This window comes from Homo sapiens, chromosome 19 (assembly GCF_000001405.40).
Source record: "Homo sapiens chromosome 19, GRCh38.p14 Primary Assembly".
NCBI classification, from domain to species: domain Eukaryota; kingdom Metazoa; phylum Chordata; class Mammalia; order Primates; family Hominidae; genus Homo; species Homo sapiens.
In genome coordinates, this window is record NC_000019.10 from 31,836,995 (window position 1) to 31,856,213 (window position 19,219).

A 19,219-nucleotide genomic window follows, 5' to 3' on the forward strand; every position below is an offset into this window, starting at 1 on the left:
GGTGTGCTGGGAGATTCACATGGACCTCACTGGAGGAAAATCCAGTACTAGTCGATCAGTGGCAAGTGGACAAGGCACTCATATTACAAAGGATTCACACCATGAATAATTTATTTCGGACTTCTCTTCAATAACAAGATCCCATACATATTCTTTTCTTCTTTGAGAGAGAGTTCCGCTTTTGCTGCCCAGGCTGGAGTGCAGTGCTCACTGCAACCTCCGCTTCCTGGTCTCAAGCAATTCTCCTGCCTCAGCCTCTGGAGTAGCTGGGATTACAGGTGTGCGCCACCATGCCCGGCTATTTTTTGTATTTTTAGCGGAGACAGGGTTTCACCATGTTGGTCAGGCTGGTCTTGAACTCCTGACCTCAGGCAATGCACCCGCCTCAGCCTCCCAAAGTGCTGGGATTACAGTCGTGAGCCACCACGCCTGGCCACAGATTCTTAAATGAATCAATTTCCAAAAGTTTGTTTCCCATATGAAGTTTCAGAAATATGCAAAACATGCCATATAATTAGAGTCCGTAGAACTCTAGGAAGACTGGAGCTGGAAGTGGCTGCAGGCATATGTAAGCCCAATGACTTTTCTAACTGAAGTGTGTAGAAGTATCACCTATGACACCTGTCAAAAAGACCTCCATGTGCCTTCCCCAGGCAGTCTGATTCTGAAGACCTGGGGCAGACCCAGCAAGCCTGATCCTGGACATCCATGAATCCCACTGCTGGGGAAACAGAAGCAGGATAGCTTCAGTGACTCCTGGAATCACACAAAGCCTGGACAGACCTGGGACTAGAACCCAGAGCTCTGATGCTCAAAATGCTGCCTCTAGTTCAGTAACTGCTTTTCTAGAATGCCTAGATGATGAATGGCTTCAACAACTGGAATATTTTATCTCTAATTCTGATAAGCAACAATTATTTCCCAGAGGGTGGGGCAAATAGAATATAAGGCAGAAGATAAGGATGTTTTATAAATTGGAAGAGAAGCCTCCAGCCCCTCATTAATCCACTCTGCTTTGCTCTAAACTAAAGAGGATTGCATTTCCTTTTTTTTTTACTTTGAAATAATAGACTGAAAGAAAAGGTTCCAGAAGAAAATCCAAATGAACGCCCAAGCCATGTTCTCTCACAAAAGAATACTGAGCAAACTTTTAATGCAGATGATCCTGGAACAATTTAATAGCTAAGTGATCCATGATTTTTCTTAACATCTATCCTCATTAAAAGAGAGAGAGAGAGAGAAAGAGAGGGAGAGAAAAAAGAAGCTGAGAAATATCTTTCAAACCCGATGAATTCAATGCCACTTCTTTTTCTTTTACTTAATTTTCCAGGTATCTCAGCATGATCTGAATAAATTATGCTGACAATAACATAATATAAATGATAAATCATCAACACAATTTTAGTGATATATTGCGGGAAATGTAAATAATAACCAGGGCTGCTAATTGGCTTGCTTCTTGGGAACAAAGCTGTGACCGCGTGGCTGTGCCAGTCTTGGCTCCGTCATTAAGTATTTCTGCTGGTAAGTTGTTTCTGCTGATCTGGAGAGGAAAGCGCAGCCTCGCAGGCAAACCTTTGTGTGAAACTTCTTCTGGCAAGAGCAAGGGCTTAAGAGAGAGAGACCGTGGTGAGTTGCAGGCGATACTTTCTTTGTTCCTCCAGAGTGCCTGTGGGTTGCAAGTTGGCCTCGATTCCCGTGCAAAACTGTGTTCCCCTAGAAGCAGCAGTAAGACTGAGACAAGGGAAATCTCTTCAAGTCAGTTAAGTTGCTGAATCTTTCCAAAAACTCTTCTGACTCATTTTGATTTCTTCCTCTCTTTTTTTTTGCTTTGATAACGATTTGATTACAACTTCATTTGACCAGAAACATAAGCTGTTTCTATGTGCTTCTTATTTTGAAAATACCTTGTTAGCATTCATCATATGTTTATGGAGCTTAAAAATATATTTTGTTTCCTTTTCCCAAACAAACCCTTCTGCTTTCTAACAGGGTTGGGCTTCTTATCTACAGTGTTCCCTCTGTGTCAAACGATGTCTTCAGAAAAAAAATAACCTGGGGTGTAGTGGGTATATTCATTCATTTACTGAGCATACCAGACCAGGGTTTGAGTCCTGAGGGGACACCATATGAATCCCAGGGGCAGGTTTCCACTCTTAGGTTCTTACATCCTAGTGGGAGGGCCAGGCAGAGAAAGAAGAAACATAATACATTTAAAAAATTGATTTGAGATCATGTTGTTTAAAACAATATAGAGCCATAAGACAGAGAGGAGCAGGTGTGATAGATGGTTCCAGGTGGCCTCCACAAGGAAGTGACATTGGAGTTGGGGCTTGGGGGACCAGAAGGAGCTGGCCATGCAAAGGTCTAGGGAAACTGTGTTCCGGACAGAGGGGCAGCATGTGCAAAGGCCCTGAGGCTGGAACAGTCTATTAAGTGTGAGGGAGGGAAAAAAAAGGCAGCAACTGGGGAACTGGTTTCTCACTGCAGCATGATGGTACCCCAGGGGACCATTTGAAAAAAGAGGAGTTTCTTTCTGCCACACCAGGGGTCGCTGCACAAGACTTCACCCCCATAGCTCCCACTTCACATCATACCTTTCATCAGTGGGGCTGTGACTTCAGAGCTTCCAGGAATGCCGCTCCCATAACCGGTCTTCTCCCAGCTCCTTGTGCTCGGGATTTGAATGTGTTTCCTCCTCCAACCTGCTGGCTTCCTAAGAGTAGAGTCATTCTCCTTAAAGATTGGCCAGCCCATCACTGATGTGATCTAGCTCAGAGTGGGTCCTGGAGGCCACTGCCGGGGACTGGGCCTGGAGTGTGGTTTCTGTGTTCGTAGCCACTGTACTATTCCATTCTTGTGCTGCTAATAAAGACATACGCAAGTCTGGGTAATTTCTGAAGAAAAAGAGGTTTAATGGACTCACAGTTCCATGGGGCTGGGGAGGCCTCACAATCATGGTGTAAGGTGAAAGGCACGTCTTACATGGTGGCAGGCAAGAGACAGTGTGTGCAAGGGAACTCTCCTTTATTAAACCATCAAATCTCGTGAGACTTATTCACTATCACAAGAACAGCACGGGAAAGACCTGCCCCCATGATTCAATTACCTCCCACCGGGTCCCTCCCATGACATGTGGGAACTGTGGAAGCTACAATTCAGAACGAGATTTAGGTGGGGACTCAGCCAAACTATATCAGCCACTTTGGGTTCCAGACACAAAAGCGCCCAGCCAGGAGCCTCTGATGGGATGCTTCTTGCTACACCCGGGCCCTGGCCTGCTGCCCCTTGTTTATCGGCCAGCAAATCTGGCAACTCACCACCCTAGGAGTATGAGAGCACAATATGTGAGGTCCCTGACCCCTGAAAGTGAAGCCACCAATGCATTCCCTGGAGAGATCCCTTAAGTGGCTCACAGCAGAGAGCAACTGCTTTGATGAAAAGTTCTGAAGACTAAAGAACTGCCCCTAAATATTCCTGTCTCAAATGAGCTGGCAGCTCTACTTCCTTCTAAGAGTTAACTTGGACACTGGCCTGCACCTTAGAGAAGGTCCCATGAAGTCAACCAGCAGCTGAATAAGGGCAGCTTTTACTGTCAAAAATTATCAAGACAGGGACTGTGGCCAAACAGAAGAGCTGCGGGTTTAGCAACTCTCTTCTTGCAGCCGTCATTTCTAGGCCTCCATCCCACCATCATCAAAACCATTTATTAAGCACTCCATCTGCATAGAGCTCCCATTTAGGCCTGGGACAGAGTGAGTCTGTTAGACAAAAGGTCCCCATCACAGAGTTATGGGCCCATCACAGACAGACAGTGATGAGGCAGACTAGCTAATTAAGGCAGGCATTAAGCCAAGAGGCAGAGTTACAAAGCATTTGCACTGGACACAGGCAGAAGAGTCCAAAGGTCCTAGTGGGGAGGAGAGGTGGGGAAGGAGGGCCTCATGCAACTCTGCCATTTGGATTTCAAAGGCTTCCTTATCCAATGAAGAGCCATGTCCATTGGATTCAAAGTCAAAGGATGATCATTATTGTTTTTTCATTTCAGTAGCTTTTGGGGTTCAATAGGTTTTTGGTTACATGAATGAATTCTATAGTACTGAATTCTAAGATTTTAGTGCACCCACCTGTCACCCGAGTAGTGTACATTGTACCCAATATGTAGGTTTTTAAATCCCCCCACTTCCCACCCTCCCCCTAATCTCCAAAGTCCATCATATCACTCAGTCTTTGTGTTCTCATAGCTTAGCTCCTACTTGTAAGTGAGAACACGCAGTGTTTGGTTTTCCATTCCTGAATTACTTCACTTAGAATAATGGCCTCCAGCTCAATCTAAGTTGCTATAAAATACATTATTTAGTTCCTCTTTATGGCTGAGTAATATTCCATGGTGTATATGTACCACATTTTCTTTATCTACTCATTGGTCAATGGGCACTTAGACTGGTTCCATATCTTTGCAACTGTGAGTTGTGCTGCTATAAACATGCACGTACAAGTGTCTTTTTCATATAATAACTTCTATTCTTTTAGTTACATACCCAGCAGTGGGATTGCTACATCGAATAGTAGATCTACGTTTTGTTCTTTAAGGAATCTCCATATCGCTTTCCATACAAGTTGTACTAATTCACATTCCCACCAGCAGTGTAAAAGTGTTCCCTTTCACCACATCCACACCAACGTCTATTGTTTTTTGACTTTTTAGTTATGTCCATTCTTATAGGAAGGAGGTGATAGCTCATTGTAGCTGTAATTCGCATTTCCCTGATAATTAGTGATGTTGAACATTTTTTTTCATATGTTTAAGAAATGGCTTTCCTGTCCATTGCCTTTGTTTGAGTTCCTTATAGATTCTAGACACTAGTCTTTTCTCACCTGCACAGTTTGCAAATATTTTCTCCCCTTCTGTGGGTTGTCTGTTTACTCTGCTGATGATGATGATGATGATTATTATTATTATTATTATTATTATTATTATTATTGTGCAGAAGCATTTTAATTTAATTATGTCCCATTTATTTATTTTGATTTTTGTTACATTTGCTTTTGGGGTCATGGTCATGAATCCTTTGCCTAGGCCAATGTTCAGAGAGTTTTTCCAATGTCATCTTTCTGAATTTTTGCGGTTTCAGGTCTTAGATTTAAGTCTTTGATCTGTTTTGAGTTGATTTTTGTATGAGGTAAGATATGGGGATCTAGTTTTATTCTTCTACATGTGGCCTGTCCATTTCCCCAGCACCATTTATTAAATAGGTTGTCTTTTCCTCAATTTATGGTTTTGTATGCTTTGTTGAAGATTAGTAAAAAAAAAAAAAAAAAAAAAAATTGTGTACCAGACTTCCACTTCAGGAGCAACATGGCATAGCCTCACCCTCCCCTTCCAATGACCTCTAAATATAACTAAATACTGTGGAATTTATTCAATAGACAATGTTAGAAGGACTCTAAAGACTGGAAAGAAGAGGATGGACTACCTAGGAGACTTGGAGCTTGAATGCCAATGTGGTGAGTTCCTCAGATTTTCTTTGCATCTTCCATATACTACTACACTAGGCTTCAGAGGAGCTTGCAACCCAGAACTGCCAACAAGTACACACACACAAACCTGCACGCACAAAAGGGAAGCCAAGGCACTGGGCATGAGGAAAGCCAACAAAGACCATGTGGGAAATTCCAACCCTGCTGCACAACCCAGGCCCAGAACAGTGGTCTGTTTGTTAAGCACAGTGGCAGCAAAGCCCAGTCATGCCAACCCTTGTCTTACAACCAGGGTCCTGAAGGGTAGTCTGATCTGTCCTCAGTGGCAACAGCAAAGCTCCAGGATAGCCTAGACTCTACTCCATAACCAGACTTCAGTGGACAGGCCAATCTGCAATCAGCAGCCAACAGCAGCAGCAGTGAAGCCCCATGTCTCCCTGGTCTCCAACCAGGAGCATGAGGAGACTCAGGCCCAGCATCTCCTGCCTTTCCTCCCCAGAAGGTCACCCAGTAACAGCAGCCATCCCAGAGAAGCAAGCATCTTATTTTTTCTACATTTGACACCATCAGAAATTGCTCAGGAGCCCCAGCAGCACCTGAAGCATGAAACAGACTAGAACAGCATCACAGGGCTCAAAAATCTAAACTGTCACTGGAACTAAAGTTCACAAAAGTGTGCCAGAAAGTGCACACTAAACCCAAACAGAGTGACTGCCCACTGAAATAGAAGATTGAAATATGATTATTAGTGCTCTGCCATAATAATCAAAATATACAAGATACAATCTAATTCACTCCTCATACCAAGAACCAGAAAAATCATAATTAGAAAGAAACAAGGCAATCAACTAACACCCATACCAAGTTGCATCTGATGCTGAATTTATCTGACAAAGAGTTTAGAACAACCATGGTAAAAATGCTTCAACAAGCAATTACAAATTCATATGAAACAAATGAAAAAGTGGAAAAAAATACAAGTTGTAAAAGCCACCAAATTGAAATTATATAACTGAGAAAAAAATCCCAAATAAAAAATCCATTGGTAAGTTCAGTAGTAAACTGGAGATGACAGAGGACAGAAGCAATGAACATAAAGACAGATCAATAGAAGTTACTCATTCGGAACAACAGAGGGACAAATTTAACAGAGCCTCAGGGATCTGTGGGAAAATAACCAAAGGTCTAATCTTTATATTATCAGAATCCCAGAAGGAAAAGAGACAGTGGGACTGAAAAAGTATTTGAAAGAAATAATAGTTAAAAACTTCCAAAATTTGGTAAAAATAAATAAATAAATAAATAAACCTGCAGATTTTTGAAGCTGGGTAAGTTCCAGATATAAACCTGAAGAAATCCACTCCAAGACACATCACAATACTGAAAACTAAACACAACAAAAATAACATTAAAGAGAGAAATAATGTATTACCAAAGGAAAAAAACACCAATTTAAATGACAATGGATTTTTTTTTTTATCTGAAGCTATGGAGGCCAGAAGAAAGTAGCACAATATTTTTCAAGTTTTGGGAAAAAAAAAAAAAAGAAGAAAAGAACTGTCAACCTTAAATCCTATATCCAGCAAAAGTGCCCTTTAGGAATAACGAAAAAATAATGATTTTTTCAGACAAATAAAAACTAAGATAATTTGGAGCACACCTACTGTTTGAGAAGGGGTAAGGAAAGCTGTCCAAACAAAAAGAAAAGAACAACAGAAAAAGAATATAATATTTGAAGAAGAAACAATGGAATGGGCAAAAACAGAAGTCAACATAATAAGACCATCCTTCAACTCATGAGTTTCTTTGTGGTTAAAGCAACAGCTACAACACCATCTAAGGTGGTGATTAAGGTATATAAAAGAAATACTTTAAAACAATTATATTTTAAAAGTGGAGAGGATAAGGGTGCCTAAATAGAAGTAAGGTCTATATACACTTCACTTTAGGTGCTAAAACCTAAATATCTTACCATTATGTCTATGGTAAGATTTACAGTAACCACTAAGAAAACTGTACAAGGTGACATATTCAAAAATATTAGAAATAAATCAAAATGGAACTGTGAAAATTTTGAATTAATCCACAGAAAAGGAAGAAAAATAAAAACAGAACAAAAAAATACCACAGGAACAAATAGAAAACAACTAATAAAAAAGCAAACCTAAATCTTAACATGTCAATAATTACTTTATGTGTACATGGTCCAAACACAGCTAAAAGATAGTGATTTAGCAGAGTAAACAAAAAATATGACCCAATACATGCTATCTACAAGAAACTCACTTTAAATGTGACAACTAGGTAGATTGAGTGTAAAAGAATGGAAGGAAAAAAATATGCATATATCTTGGAATAAATAATCAAAAAATCACAAGAGTAGGTATTCAGATGAAGGGACTTTGAAGCAAGTGTGTGTGTGTGTGTGTGTGTGTGTGTGTATGACAAAAAGAAACATGATGTAATGAATCTGCAAGAAGATATAACATTCTTAATTGTGTATGCACCACATAACAGAACATCAAAATACATGAAGCAAAAACTGATAGACTTGAAATGAGAAATAGAAAAATCCACAATTATAGTTAGAATTTCAACATCCCACTATTGGCAACTGATAGAAATACTAGATAGAAAATGAGGCAGGATATAAAAGAACTGAACACCATCAACCAACAGAATCTATTTGACATTTATAAAACATTCCCCCATCCAGCAGCAGCAGCAGAATACATGTTCTTTTCAAGCATCCTTGAAAAATTTACCAAGGTAGACTATATCTTGAGTCATGAAACAAACCTCAGCAAATTTAAAAGAATTTTAAATTTTAAATTCTTTTAAATCATACAGACTATTTTTTTTACCATGATGGAATCAAACTAGAAATTATAAGAGAAAGGCAACAGGAAAACCTCCAATAATTGGAAATTAAACAATGCATTTCTAAATAATCCATGGCTCAAGAGGAAGTCTTATTAAAAATACATAACACAGGCCAGGCATGGTGGCTCACACCTGTAATCCCAGCACTTTTGGAAGCCGAGGTGGTCAAATCACTTGAGCCCAGGAGTTCGAGACCAGCCTGGCCAACATGGTGAAACCCTGTCTCTACTAAAAATATAAAAATTGGTCGGGCATGGTGGTGTACACCTGTGCACCTGTAATCCTAGCTACTTGGGAGGCTGAAACATGAGAATCACTTGAACCCAGGAGGCAAAGGATGCAAAGAGCTGAGATCTTTCCACTGCTCTCCAACCTGGGTGACAGAGGGAGACCCCGTCTCAGAAAAAAAAAAAAAGTAGAACAAAATTAAAATAAAAACAAACCATATCAAATTTATGAGATCAAGCTAAAGTAATAGTAAGAGGAATATTTGTATTAGTAAATATAGTTGACCCCTGAACAATATGGGGGTTAGGGGTACTGGTTCCCCAACCCGTGCCATGTAGTAAAAAAAGTGTGTATAATTTTTGACTCCCGAAAAACATAACTACTAACAGCCTGTTATTGACCAGAAGCCTTACCAATAATATAAACAGTTGATACACACATTTTATATGTTATATATATTATATAATGTATTCTTACAAGAAAGTATGCTAGAGAAAAGAAAACATTATCAAGAAAATCATAAAGAAGAGAAATATATTTACTATTTGTTAAGAGGAAGTGGATCATTGTAAAGGTCTTCATCCTCATCATCTTCCCATTGGGTAAACTGAAAAGAAGGAGGGAAAGGAGGCATTGGTCTTGCTGTCTCAGGGGTGGCACAGGCAAAAGAGGTGGAGGAGGTAGAAAGGGAGCAAGAGAGGCAGACCACACTGAGTATAATCTTATGGAAATAGATCATGATTTCTGTCTGACTTCTTTGCTTCTTCATTTCTCTAAAAATGTTTCTATATGGTATCAATTCTTCTTCTACCATTTGCTTTCATTTCATTGCCCCTGTCACAAAAGAGTCCATGTTGTTAAAGAAGTCAACAGCAGTCTTAAATACTTGGAATCCTTTCATCGGACTGCCTAATGTCAACCTGTTTTCTGGCACTGCTTCTTCTATGTCTTCCTCATAATCTGGCACTGGTTTGGAAACACCTACTGCAAGCCTTCTTCTGTTAACTCCTTTGATGTGGCATCTATTAGTTCTTGAATTTCTCCAAGATCTGTATCTTGGAACCCTTCATGCTTCCCCCACCATTTTGGCCATATCCACAGTCTCTTTCAAGATGTCCTTGATTGGCTCTGTCACATATCTGGTGAAGTCATGCATAACATCTGGACACAGTTTTCTCCAGTAGAAATGTATTGCTTTGGGCTGGATGGTTTTCATGGCTTTCTATAACAATGATGGTATCTTCATGGAATGGTATAATCTTTCCAGACTTTCATGATGTTCTCTCTATCAAGGTTTCTCTCTTCCATAGTATGACAATCCTTTCTACAGTGTCATGTTTAATAAGCTTTAAAGGTCCTTATGTCCTCCTGATCTAGAGGCTGAAGTAGAGACATTGTGTTTGGGAGCAAGTAGGATGCCTTCAGTGTTGAACTCATTGGGGTTCTGGGTGGCTAGGGGCATGGTTCAATTTCAAAATAATTTTAAAAGACAGTTCCTAACTGCCAAGGTACTTCCTGACTTTAGAGACAAAGCATCTTTGGAACTAACCCCCTCTACTGCCCCCCACCCCCCAAAAAAAAAAGTTCTCATTGTCCAGGCTGTCTTGTTACAGGACAACCAAAAGACTGGTAGCTGGTGTTTACCCTTTCCTTTCAAGGCTCAGGGGTTAGTAGCTTTATAGATAAGAGCAGTCCTGATCATAAATCCAGTGCATTTTCATAAAACAGTAAAGTTAGCCTGTCCCTTCCTGCCTTAAATCCTGGTGCTGGGGCTGGCTTCTCTTCCTTATGAATAGATGCTTTTCAAGACTTTTTTAAAAATCAGAATAAGGAGCTTTTGTCTGCGTTAAAAACCTGTTCAGGCAGATATCCTTTCTTCTCAATGATTTTGTTAATAGTTCCTGGAAACTCATCTGCTGCCTCTTGGTCAGCAGAAGGTGCTTCTCCTGTTATCTTTATATTTTTTAAGCTAAATCTCTTTCTAAAATTATAACATCATCCTTTGCTGGCAATAAATTCTCCAGCTTTAGATTATTCGCATTCCTTTTGCTTTAAGTTGTCACATAATGATTTCCCATTTTCTCGAATCATGTTAGAGTCTATAGGTATGCCTTTTTTATAGCAATCCTGCACCCACATAAAAGCTGCATTTTCAATACAATAATAAAAAGCATTTCACAAAAAATTACCAGGTTTTTGTGCCTACTAGTATAGCTGAAAAGACAGCTTCACAAGTTTCCTTTTCTTTTTTTGCTATGGTCCTTTGCCTGGAATCATTTATCTTGAAATGGCAGATGACTGAGCACACTGGCACATGCCTGAAGTCCCAGACACTTGGGAGGCTGTGGCAGGAGGACTGCTTGAGCCCAAGAGCTCAAGTCCAGCCTGGGCAACAAAGCAAGATCCCATTTCTTAAAAAAAAAAGAAAGAAAGAAAAAAAGGAAGGAAGGAAGAAAATGGTGGGCAACAGCAGCTTTAGACCTCAATCTATGGCACCTATCAAGCAATTAAACTTTTTCTTGTAATGTCGTGACTTTTTTCTACTTCTTGGGAGCACTTCCAGCATCACTAGTGGCACTTAGAATGGGCCCCAGAGTGTTATTCAAGGTTTAAGGTATTGCACTAAACACTATGGGAAATAGATGAGAACCACAAGAAATCACTTTTTACTGAGACACAAACTGCTCATGGGGAGATGATTAGCCTCTCACAGCACTATAAGTAGATACCCTTAACACTAGCTCACCACAATAGCAACAAGAGGAGGCTGCTAAATTATTACAATAGTCTAACACACGCTACAATTACATTTTATGCAGGTATAATTTAATATTGCATCCTTACATTTGTTTACATTTCTCTCAACTATGAAAGGTGTCTGTGTTTATGTATGTAAGTTCTGATAAATTTTAACTTTTTCTAACAGATGTGTGTATATTTTATGGTAGTAAGTGATAAAGTAGACTAGTATTTACATATATTTTATGCATGCATAATATACTGAACTTTAAAAAAATGATATTTCTATCTCATACAGTTTGTGAATTTTTTCAAATTGTTGCAAATTCCCAAAAAATTTTCCAGTATACTTATTGAAAAAAAAATCCACATATAAATCACAGTTCAAAACCATTGTTCAAGGGTAAACTGTGCTTACATTAGAAAAGAGAAAAGTTTTCCAATCAATAATCTAAATTCTTACTTTTTGAAACTAGTAGAAGAACAAGATAAACCTAAGGCAAGCATACAAAAGGAAACAATTAAATGAAAAGCAGAAATCAATGAAAGGAAAATAAGAAAATAAAGGAAATAATTAGAACGAATAGCTGGTTCTTTTTTTAAAAAATTAATAAATTGATAAATGTCTAGGCAAGCTAACCAAGAAAAAAAAAGAGATGACACAAATTACCAACATCAGAAATGAAATAAGACTCATCACTACTGTTCCTACGAAGATTAAAAGAATAATTTAAAAATTCTGTGAACTATTCCATACTCACAAATTTTTTAACTTAGATGAGATGGATTGATTCTTGAAAGACACAAATTACTAAAACTTACACAAGAAGAAACAAATAATCTAAGTAGGCCTACATTTATTAAAAAATTGAATTAATCATTAACAAACTTCCAAAAAGAGAAAGCATCAGGCCTGGATGGATTCACTGATAAATTCTACCAAATATTTATGGTAAAGACTATGCCAGTTCTCTACAATCTCTTCCAGAAAATAGAAGCAAGATGCTTAGTAACAGGCCAGCATAACCTTTGACAAAATCCAACACATAATCACAAGAAAACTCTCAGCTAGCTGGGAACTGCCTTAATATGATAGAGAACATCTACCAAAAATAAATAGCACCATACATAACAGGGAAAAAACAGACACTTTCCCTATAAAGTTGTCAACAAAGCAAAGATATCCTGTCTTGCCACTCTTATTCAGCAGGATACTTGAAGTCTTATCCAGTGCAATAAGAAAAGAAACAGAAATAAACTTTATAAGACTGGAAAGGAACAAGTAAAATTGTCTTTGTTCAAAGATGACATTATTATCAATGTAGAACATCCCAAAGAATTGATCAAAAACTATAACAAAACAAAGCAAAACAAATCTCCTGGATTTAATAAGTGAGTATAAAAGGTTACAGGATACAAGATTAATATACAAAAGTCAATTGCTTTCCTATATACCACAATGAACAATTGAAATGTGAAATTCAAAAATACTATCAGTCAGGTATGGCAGCTTAAGCCTGTAATCCCATCACTTTGGGAGGCCAAGGCAAAAGAATTGCTGGAGTCCAGGAATCCAAGATCAGCCTAGGAAACATAGTGAATACACTATCTTTACAAAAAATAAAAATAGGCATAGTGTCACATGCTAGCAGTCTCAGTTGCCCAGGAGGCTGAGGTGGGGGAATCACTTGAGCCCGGGAGGTAAAGGCTACAGTGACCCATGATTGCATCACTGTACTCCCGTCTGGGGAACAGAGTGAGACTCTGTCTCAAATAAATAAATAAATAAATACGGTTTATAATGGCACCCAAACAATGAAATACTTAGGAATGAAATTAATAAGATACATATAGTATCTGTGCAGAAAACAATAAAACTGTGATTTTAAAAAATCAAAGATCTAAATAAATGGAAGGATATTCCATGTTCATTGACTGGAAGACTCAATATTGTTAAAATGTCAGTTCTTCCCAACTTGATCTATAGATTCAATGCAATCCCAATCAAAATTGCAGGAAGCTGTTTCACAGATAGTCACAAACTGATTCTAAAGTTCATGTGGAAAGGCAAAATACATACAATGGCTCATGCAATACTGAATAAAAACAAAGTTGGAAGACTCACACAACCAAATTTTAATACTTATAATAAAGGTATGGAAATCAAGACAGTATGGTATTAATGAAAAAGCAGACACATAGATCAAGTGTAATAGACTAAAAAGCCCAGAAATAGAGCCACAAAATATAGTCAACAGATCTTTGGCAAAAGAGCAAAAGCAATTCAAGGGAAAAGAAGTATTTTCAACAAATGGTTCTGAATCAATTGGATGTGCATATTTAAAAAGAGAATATAAACACATACCTTACACTTTTCATCAAAATTAATTCAAAGTTGATCATAAACCTAAATGCAAAATATAAAAGTATAATAAACATCCAGAAGAAAACATGAGAAAAATCTAAGTGACTTTGGGTTTGGCAATGAGTGTTTAGATACACCAAAAGTATAATCCAAACTTAATGTTATATAAAAATTAATAAGTTAAATTTTATTAAAACAAAAATTTGTAAGATACATATAGTTTCTGTGTATAGTCTGGGATAAAATATTTGCAAAACACATCTAATGACTTTGGGTTTGGCAATGGGAGTTGACAAATGTATTTCCTATTTTCTCAACTATAGGAAAATAACTCAACTTTTTTTAAAACTAGTTTAAAAATACAAGGAGAAGATCTGAACAAAAAACTCACAAAAGAAGAAATACAGATAGCAAATAGGTAAATGAGAAGGTACACAACATAATTTATCATTGAGGAATTGTAAATTAAAACAACAATAAGATATCACTATGTACCTATTAGAATGACTAAAATCTAAAAGCGTGATAACATCAAATACTGATGAAGATACAGAGCAACAGAAACTCTCATTCATTGCAACAGGGAATGCAAAATGGGACAGCCATTTGAGAAGACAGCTTGGCCACTTCTTACAAAGCAAAACATAACCTTAGCCATACAAACCAGCAATTGCACTCCTATGTATCTACCCAACTGACTGGAAAATGTATCTATGCAAAAAACTGCATGTGAATGTTTATAATAGCTTTACTCATAATTACCAAAAACTGGGAAGCAACTAAGATAGTCTTCAATATGTAAATGGATAAACAGATTGTGGTGCATTCATACAATGGAATATCAATATAAGTAATGCTTAAATAAGTAAGTATATGGGAATAAGAGACAAATCTGTAAGAAGAATTCCAAATAATGTACGTAGATACTCTGCCCTCAAAGACAGGGAGAGCACAATTCCTCATTCCTTAGAGATGGATTGTGCTTAGTGACTTCTTTCCAGCAAAGTATACTATGATAAAATGGTGGTGGGTGGGGAGAATCAATAACTTTATAGTGGGGAAACCTGACACCCAACTTCAACAACGTTATGAAAGTCAGCATCAATAACAATAGAACATGTTGATAGTATGTACTGTTGACATGATGTGATGAAAATGGCCCTCTACCTCTGTGGTCTTCTTCCCCAAAACCCATTTTAATTGTGATAAAAGCTACCCAGGCAAATCATGATAAAAACACAGAACAATTTCCAATAGAGGAGCATTTGACAAAATTCTTGACAAGGACTTCTGCAAGCTGTCAAGGTCATCAAAACAAGAAAAGCCTGAGAAACTTTTATATCCAAAGAAATCCTAAGGAGACAGGATGACTACATGTAACATGGTATTTTGGATGAAACAGAAGAAATTTTATAAAACCTAAGAATATATGAATATAGCATGGGCTTTAATTAATAATACTGTATCAATATTCATTTAGTAATTATAACAAATGTACCATACTAATGCAAGATGTTAATGACAGAGGAAACTGGGTATTAGGTATGTGGAAACTGTCTGTAGTATCTTCTCAATTTTTCTCTAAATCCAAATTTGTTGTAAAAAATAAATTTCTTTTTAAAAAATAATAGTCATTTCACATTACTCCACTATGTCCAACTCTCCAGCAGCTTTCCTTTGGATTTAGAATCAAATTCCAACTAGCTTGCAGCCCTTATCTGAGTGCCTTTGTGAAGCCTTGTTTACTACTTTTCAGTCAAACTGGTGTTCTTTCTGTTCTACCAACACTCCACTCTCATTAGCCTTTCAGGGACTTTGCGTACCCACATTTCCCCATATCTCCTTGTTTCTTTTGTCCACTATTATAATCCTCAGATTTCAAATAGTACCTGAAACATAGTACATGACAACTGGTTGGATGGATTGATGAGGAGATGGATTAATGAACATGACTGTTCCAATAACAAACCAATGATAATTGAGTCTTATGACCTTGAAGAAGCTTATCTCACTGCAATTGTCTACTGATACATTTTGAAGACTCACAAAATACTCAACTGAATCGAAATATTCGTATAATTTTAAAAAATTGTTTTAGAAGCAAAAATGTCCACATGCCCTACAAATGCTACTAACCTGTGTGTACATCCCTCTTATCCTTAGACCTTATACTACCTTCTAGTGACTTCTTAAGTTAATGGTCTAATCACTTCAAACTAACACTGAACAATTAAGGTAAACTTACATTAACTGAATGATGTCCACTGGACCTCAATAGAATTTCCAATGTCATTTTAGACACTTTTCAGACAATGTCACTTGGAATTAAAAGGAAGAAGTTTTACAACTATGTAGAAAATAAAATTTATAATGATCCACAGGGCATAGCTTGACCTCTAGCAGCTTGCAGTCAGGAACAGAGACATGGACAAGAATGAACATCCAGATAATTGAACAAAATCCAAACCACTTCACAGGTAACAGTCAAGGTTAAACATATCTTATGTATACAAGCCAACATAGACCCAGTACTTACTACCTGCAGTAATTTAACACTTCTTAAAATTTCATAATCTCTCTTGCAGCAAATATCAATTTTCTTTTTCTTTTTTTTTTTTTGAGACAGAGTCTTGCTCTGTTTCTCAGGCTGGAGCACAGTGGCACATCTCTGCTCACTGCAAACTTCACCTCCTGGTTTCAAGTGACTCTCCTGCCTCAGCCTCCCAACTAGCTAGGAATACAGGCGCCTGCCATCAATCCAGCTAATTTTTGTATTTTTAATAGAGACAGGGTTTTGCCGTGCTGGCCAGGTTGGTCTTGAACTCCTGACCTCAAGTGATCTGCCCGAATCGGCCTCCTAAAGTGCAAACATCAATTTTCAAAATTATCTTCCAAAGTGCCTCGGGGTTTTGTGTTATAGCTTACATAAAGGTGGATCTGAGGAACATAAGTAAGCAAGTCAACTTAATTGGATTTTAGGAGGTCTCAACCACTGGATTTTGGAGGTCTAACCAGCAAGAAAGATTTTATTTTGAATAATTACAGGAGAGATAATTTTCTGTGCAAAGAAAAAGTATGGAAAAAATAACGAAAATGGGAACCACTATTACTCTGCCCACATTAAATGAAAACTCAGTTGGTTTCTTGACATACAAGCAAGCAAACTCTAAAGAAAACTTTGCACATTAGCAGGATAGTCTAGATTCTTGAAGGCTTAACTTCTTTGCACTTCAAACCCCAGTCTTGCATGCCAAACATTTGATATTACATCAACATCACCTTGAAAGAATTCTAACTCTGGAGACAATCAGTTAATTAAAAAAAACACACAGGGGCATTTTTTTTTCTTTTTTTTTTAGACGGAGTCTTGCTCTGTCACCCAGGCTGGAGTGCAGTGGCACGATCTCAGCTCATTGCAAGCTCCGCCTCTTGGGTTCATGCCATTCTCCTGCCTCAGCCTCCCAAGTAGCTGGGACTACAGGTGCCTGCCACCACACCCGGCTAATTTTTCCTTTTTTTTTTTTTTTGTATTTTTAGTAGAGACGGGGTTTCCCCATGTTAGCCAGGATGGTCTCAATCTCCTGACCTCGTGAACAACCCACCTCGGCCTCCCAAAGTGCTGGGATTACAGGCCTGAGCCACCATGCCCAGCCAGGGGAATATTTTTTATGTATAATTATTTTACATGCCGATCTCAGGACCTTGATTGTCTCTTCTACATGGGAACTACCATGGATATCTAATTTTTTGGTATAAAGGAATACAGGAATATACATTCTTCTCAAGCTCATATGGAACATTCACCAAAATAGACTACATTCTTGGCCATAAAATACACCTGAACAAATCTAAAAGAATAAAAATAATATATTGTCTGCTCTGAGATCACAATGGAATTAATCTAGAAATTAATTACAGACAGATAGCTGGAAAATCCCAAAATATTTGGAGATTAAAGGACACACTTCTAAATAACACATTGGCCAAAAAAGAAATCTCAAGAAAAATTTAAAATATTTTGAATTAACTAAATAAAATAATGAACTAAATAAAAGTAAAACCACTACATATTGAAATATGTGGAATGTGGAAAAAGTGATGCTTAGAGGGAAATTTATAGCATTGCATGAATATATTTAAAAAAAAGAAGAAAGATCTAAAATTAATTATCTAGGTTCCCACCATAGGAAACAAGAAAAAAAAAGAGAAAATTAAATTCAAGGTAAGCAGAAGAAAATAAATAATTTTTAAAAAACAGAAAGCAATGAAATTGATAAAAGGAAATAGAAAAAATTAATAAAACCAAAAGGTGGTTCTTTTAAAAAAAATCAATAAAATCAATAGACTGCCATCCAGTGTAACTATGAAAAAAAGATAGAAAAAACAAATTATGAACATCAGAAATGAAAGAGGGGACATCACTACAGATCCAATGGACATCAAAATTATAATAAAGGAATGGTATGAACAACTTTATACCCATAAATTTGATAACCTAGATTAAGTGGACCAAGTCCTTGACAGACACAGTTCGCTGTGTCTGTCACGCAAACTCACATGAAAGGTAGGCAATCTGAATAGGCCTATGCCTATTGCCAAAATCGAATCAATAAATAACTTTGCAAAGCAGAAAGCATTTGGTCTACTGGTAAATTCTACCAAATACTTAAGGAAGTAATTACACGGATTCATTTTTTTTTACAATCTCTTTCAGAAGACACTGACAGAGGGAATACAGAAGGTCTCTGACTTATGTAGTTTTACTTAAGATTTGTTGACTTTATGATGGGTTTATCAGGGCATTAAATTCATTTTTGACATACCATGGGTATCAGAACACAACCCCATTGTACATCAAAGAGCATCTGTACTTCTTAACTCATTCTATGAGGCCAACATTGTTCTAATACAAAAACCTCAGAGACGTTACAAGAAAACTGCAAACCAATACCTCTCATGAGCATAGATGTAAAACTCCTCAACAAAATACTAGCAAATTGAATTTAACAATACGTAAAAAGAATTATACACCATGACCAGGTGGAATGTATCCCAATTATATGAAGCTTGTTCAATATTTGAGAAGCAATTAATGTAATCCAGCTTATCAACAACCTAAAAGAATAAAAATATTGCATAATTATATCAATAGATACAGAAAAGGCATTTGAAAAAATCCAATACCCATTCATGATAAAAAGCACTCAACAAACTAGGATAGAGGGGAACTTCCTCAATATGACAAAGCATATTTACAAAACACTTACAGCTAATATTATAGTTAATGGGAGAAAAAACCCTCTTAGTAAAATGAGAAACATGGCAAGGATGTCCTCTGTTACCACTGCTTTTTAAGGTGGTGGTAGTGGAAATGCTAACTAATGCAATAAGAAAATAAAATTTCTAAAACGATATGCAGATTGGGAAGAAATGAAACTCTGTTTACAAGTGGTGATTGTCTGGGTATAAAGTCCAAAATAACTGACAAAAAAATAAGTAATTTTAGCAAAGTTGCAAGATACA

The 19,219-nt window shown here is 37.4% G+C and overlaps 1 long non-coding RNA gene across 18 annotated transcripts in view; it reads right to left on the reverse strand.

The window, feature by feature from the left end:
* Positions 1–385: 385 nt before the first annotated feature.
* The window catches only part of LINC01837 (long intergenic non-protein coding RNA 1837), a 234,720-nt gene continuing 215,886 nt past the window's right edge, over positions 386–19,219 (reverse strand). For all 18 annotated transcript variants that reach the window (XR_007067222.1, XR_007067219.1, XR_007067217.1 and 15 more), the window contains 2 exons: positions 2,598–2,865; positions 386–2,171 (listed from right to left, as the gene is read on the reverse strand). This is a non-coding gene — a long non-coding RNA (long intergenic non-protein coding RNA 1837). The remainder of the gene's footprint in view (positions 2,172–2,597; positions 2,866–19,219) is intronic.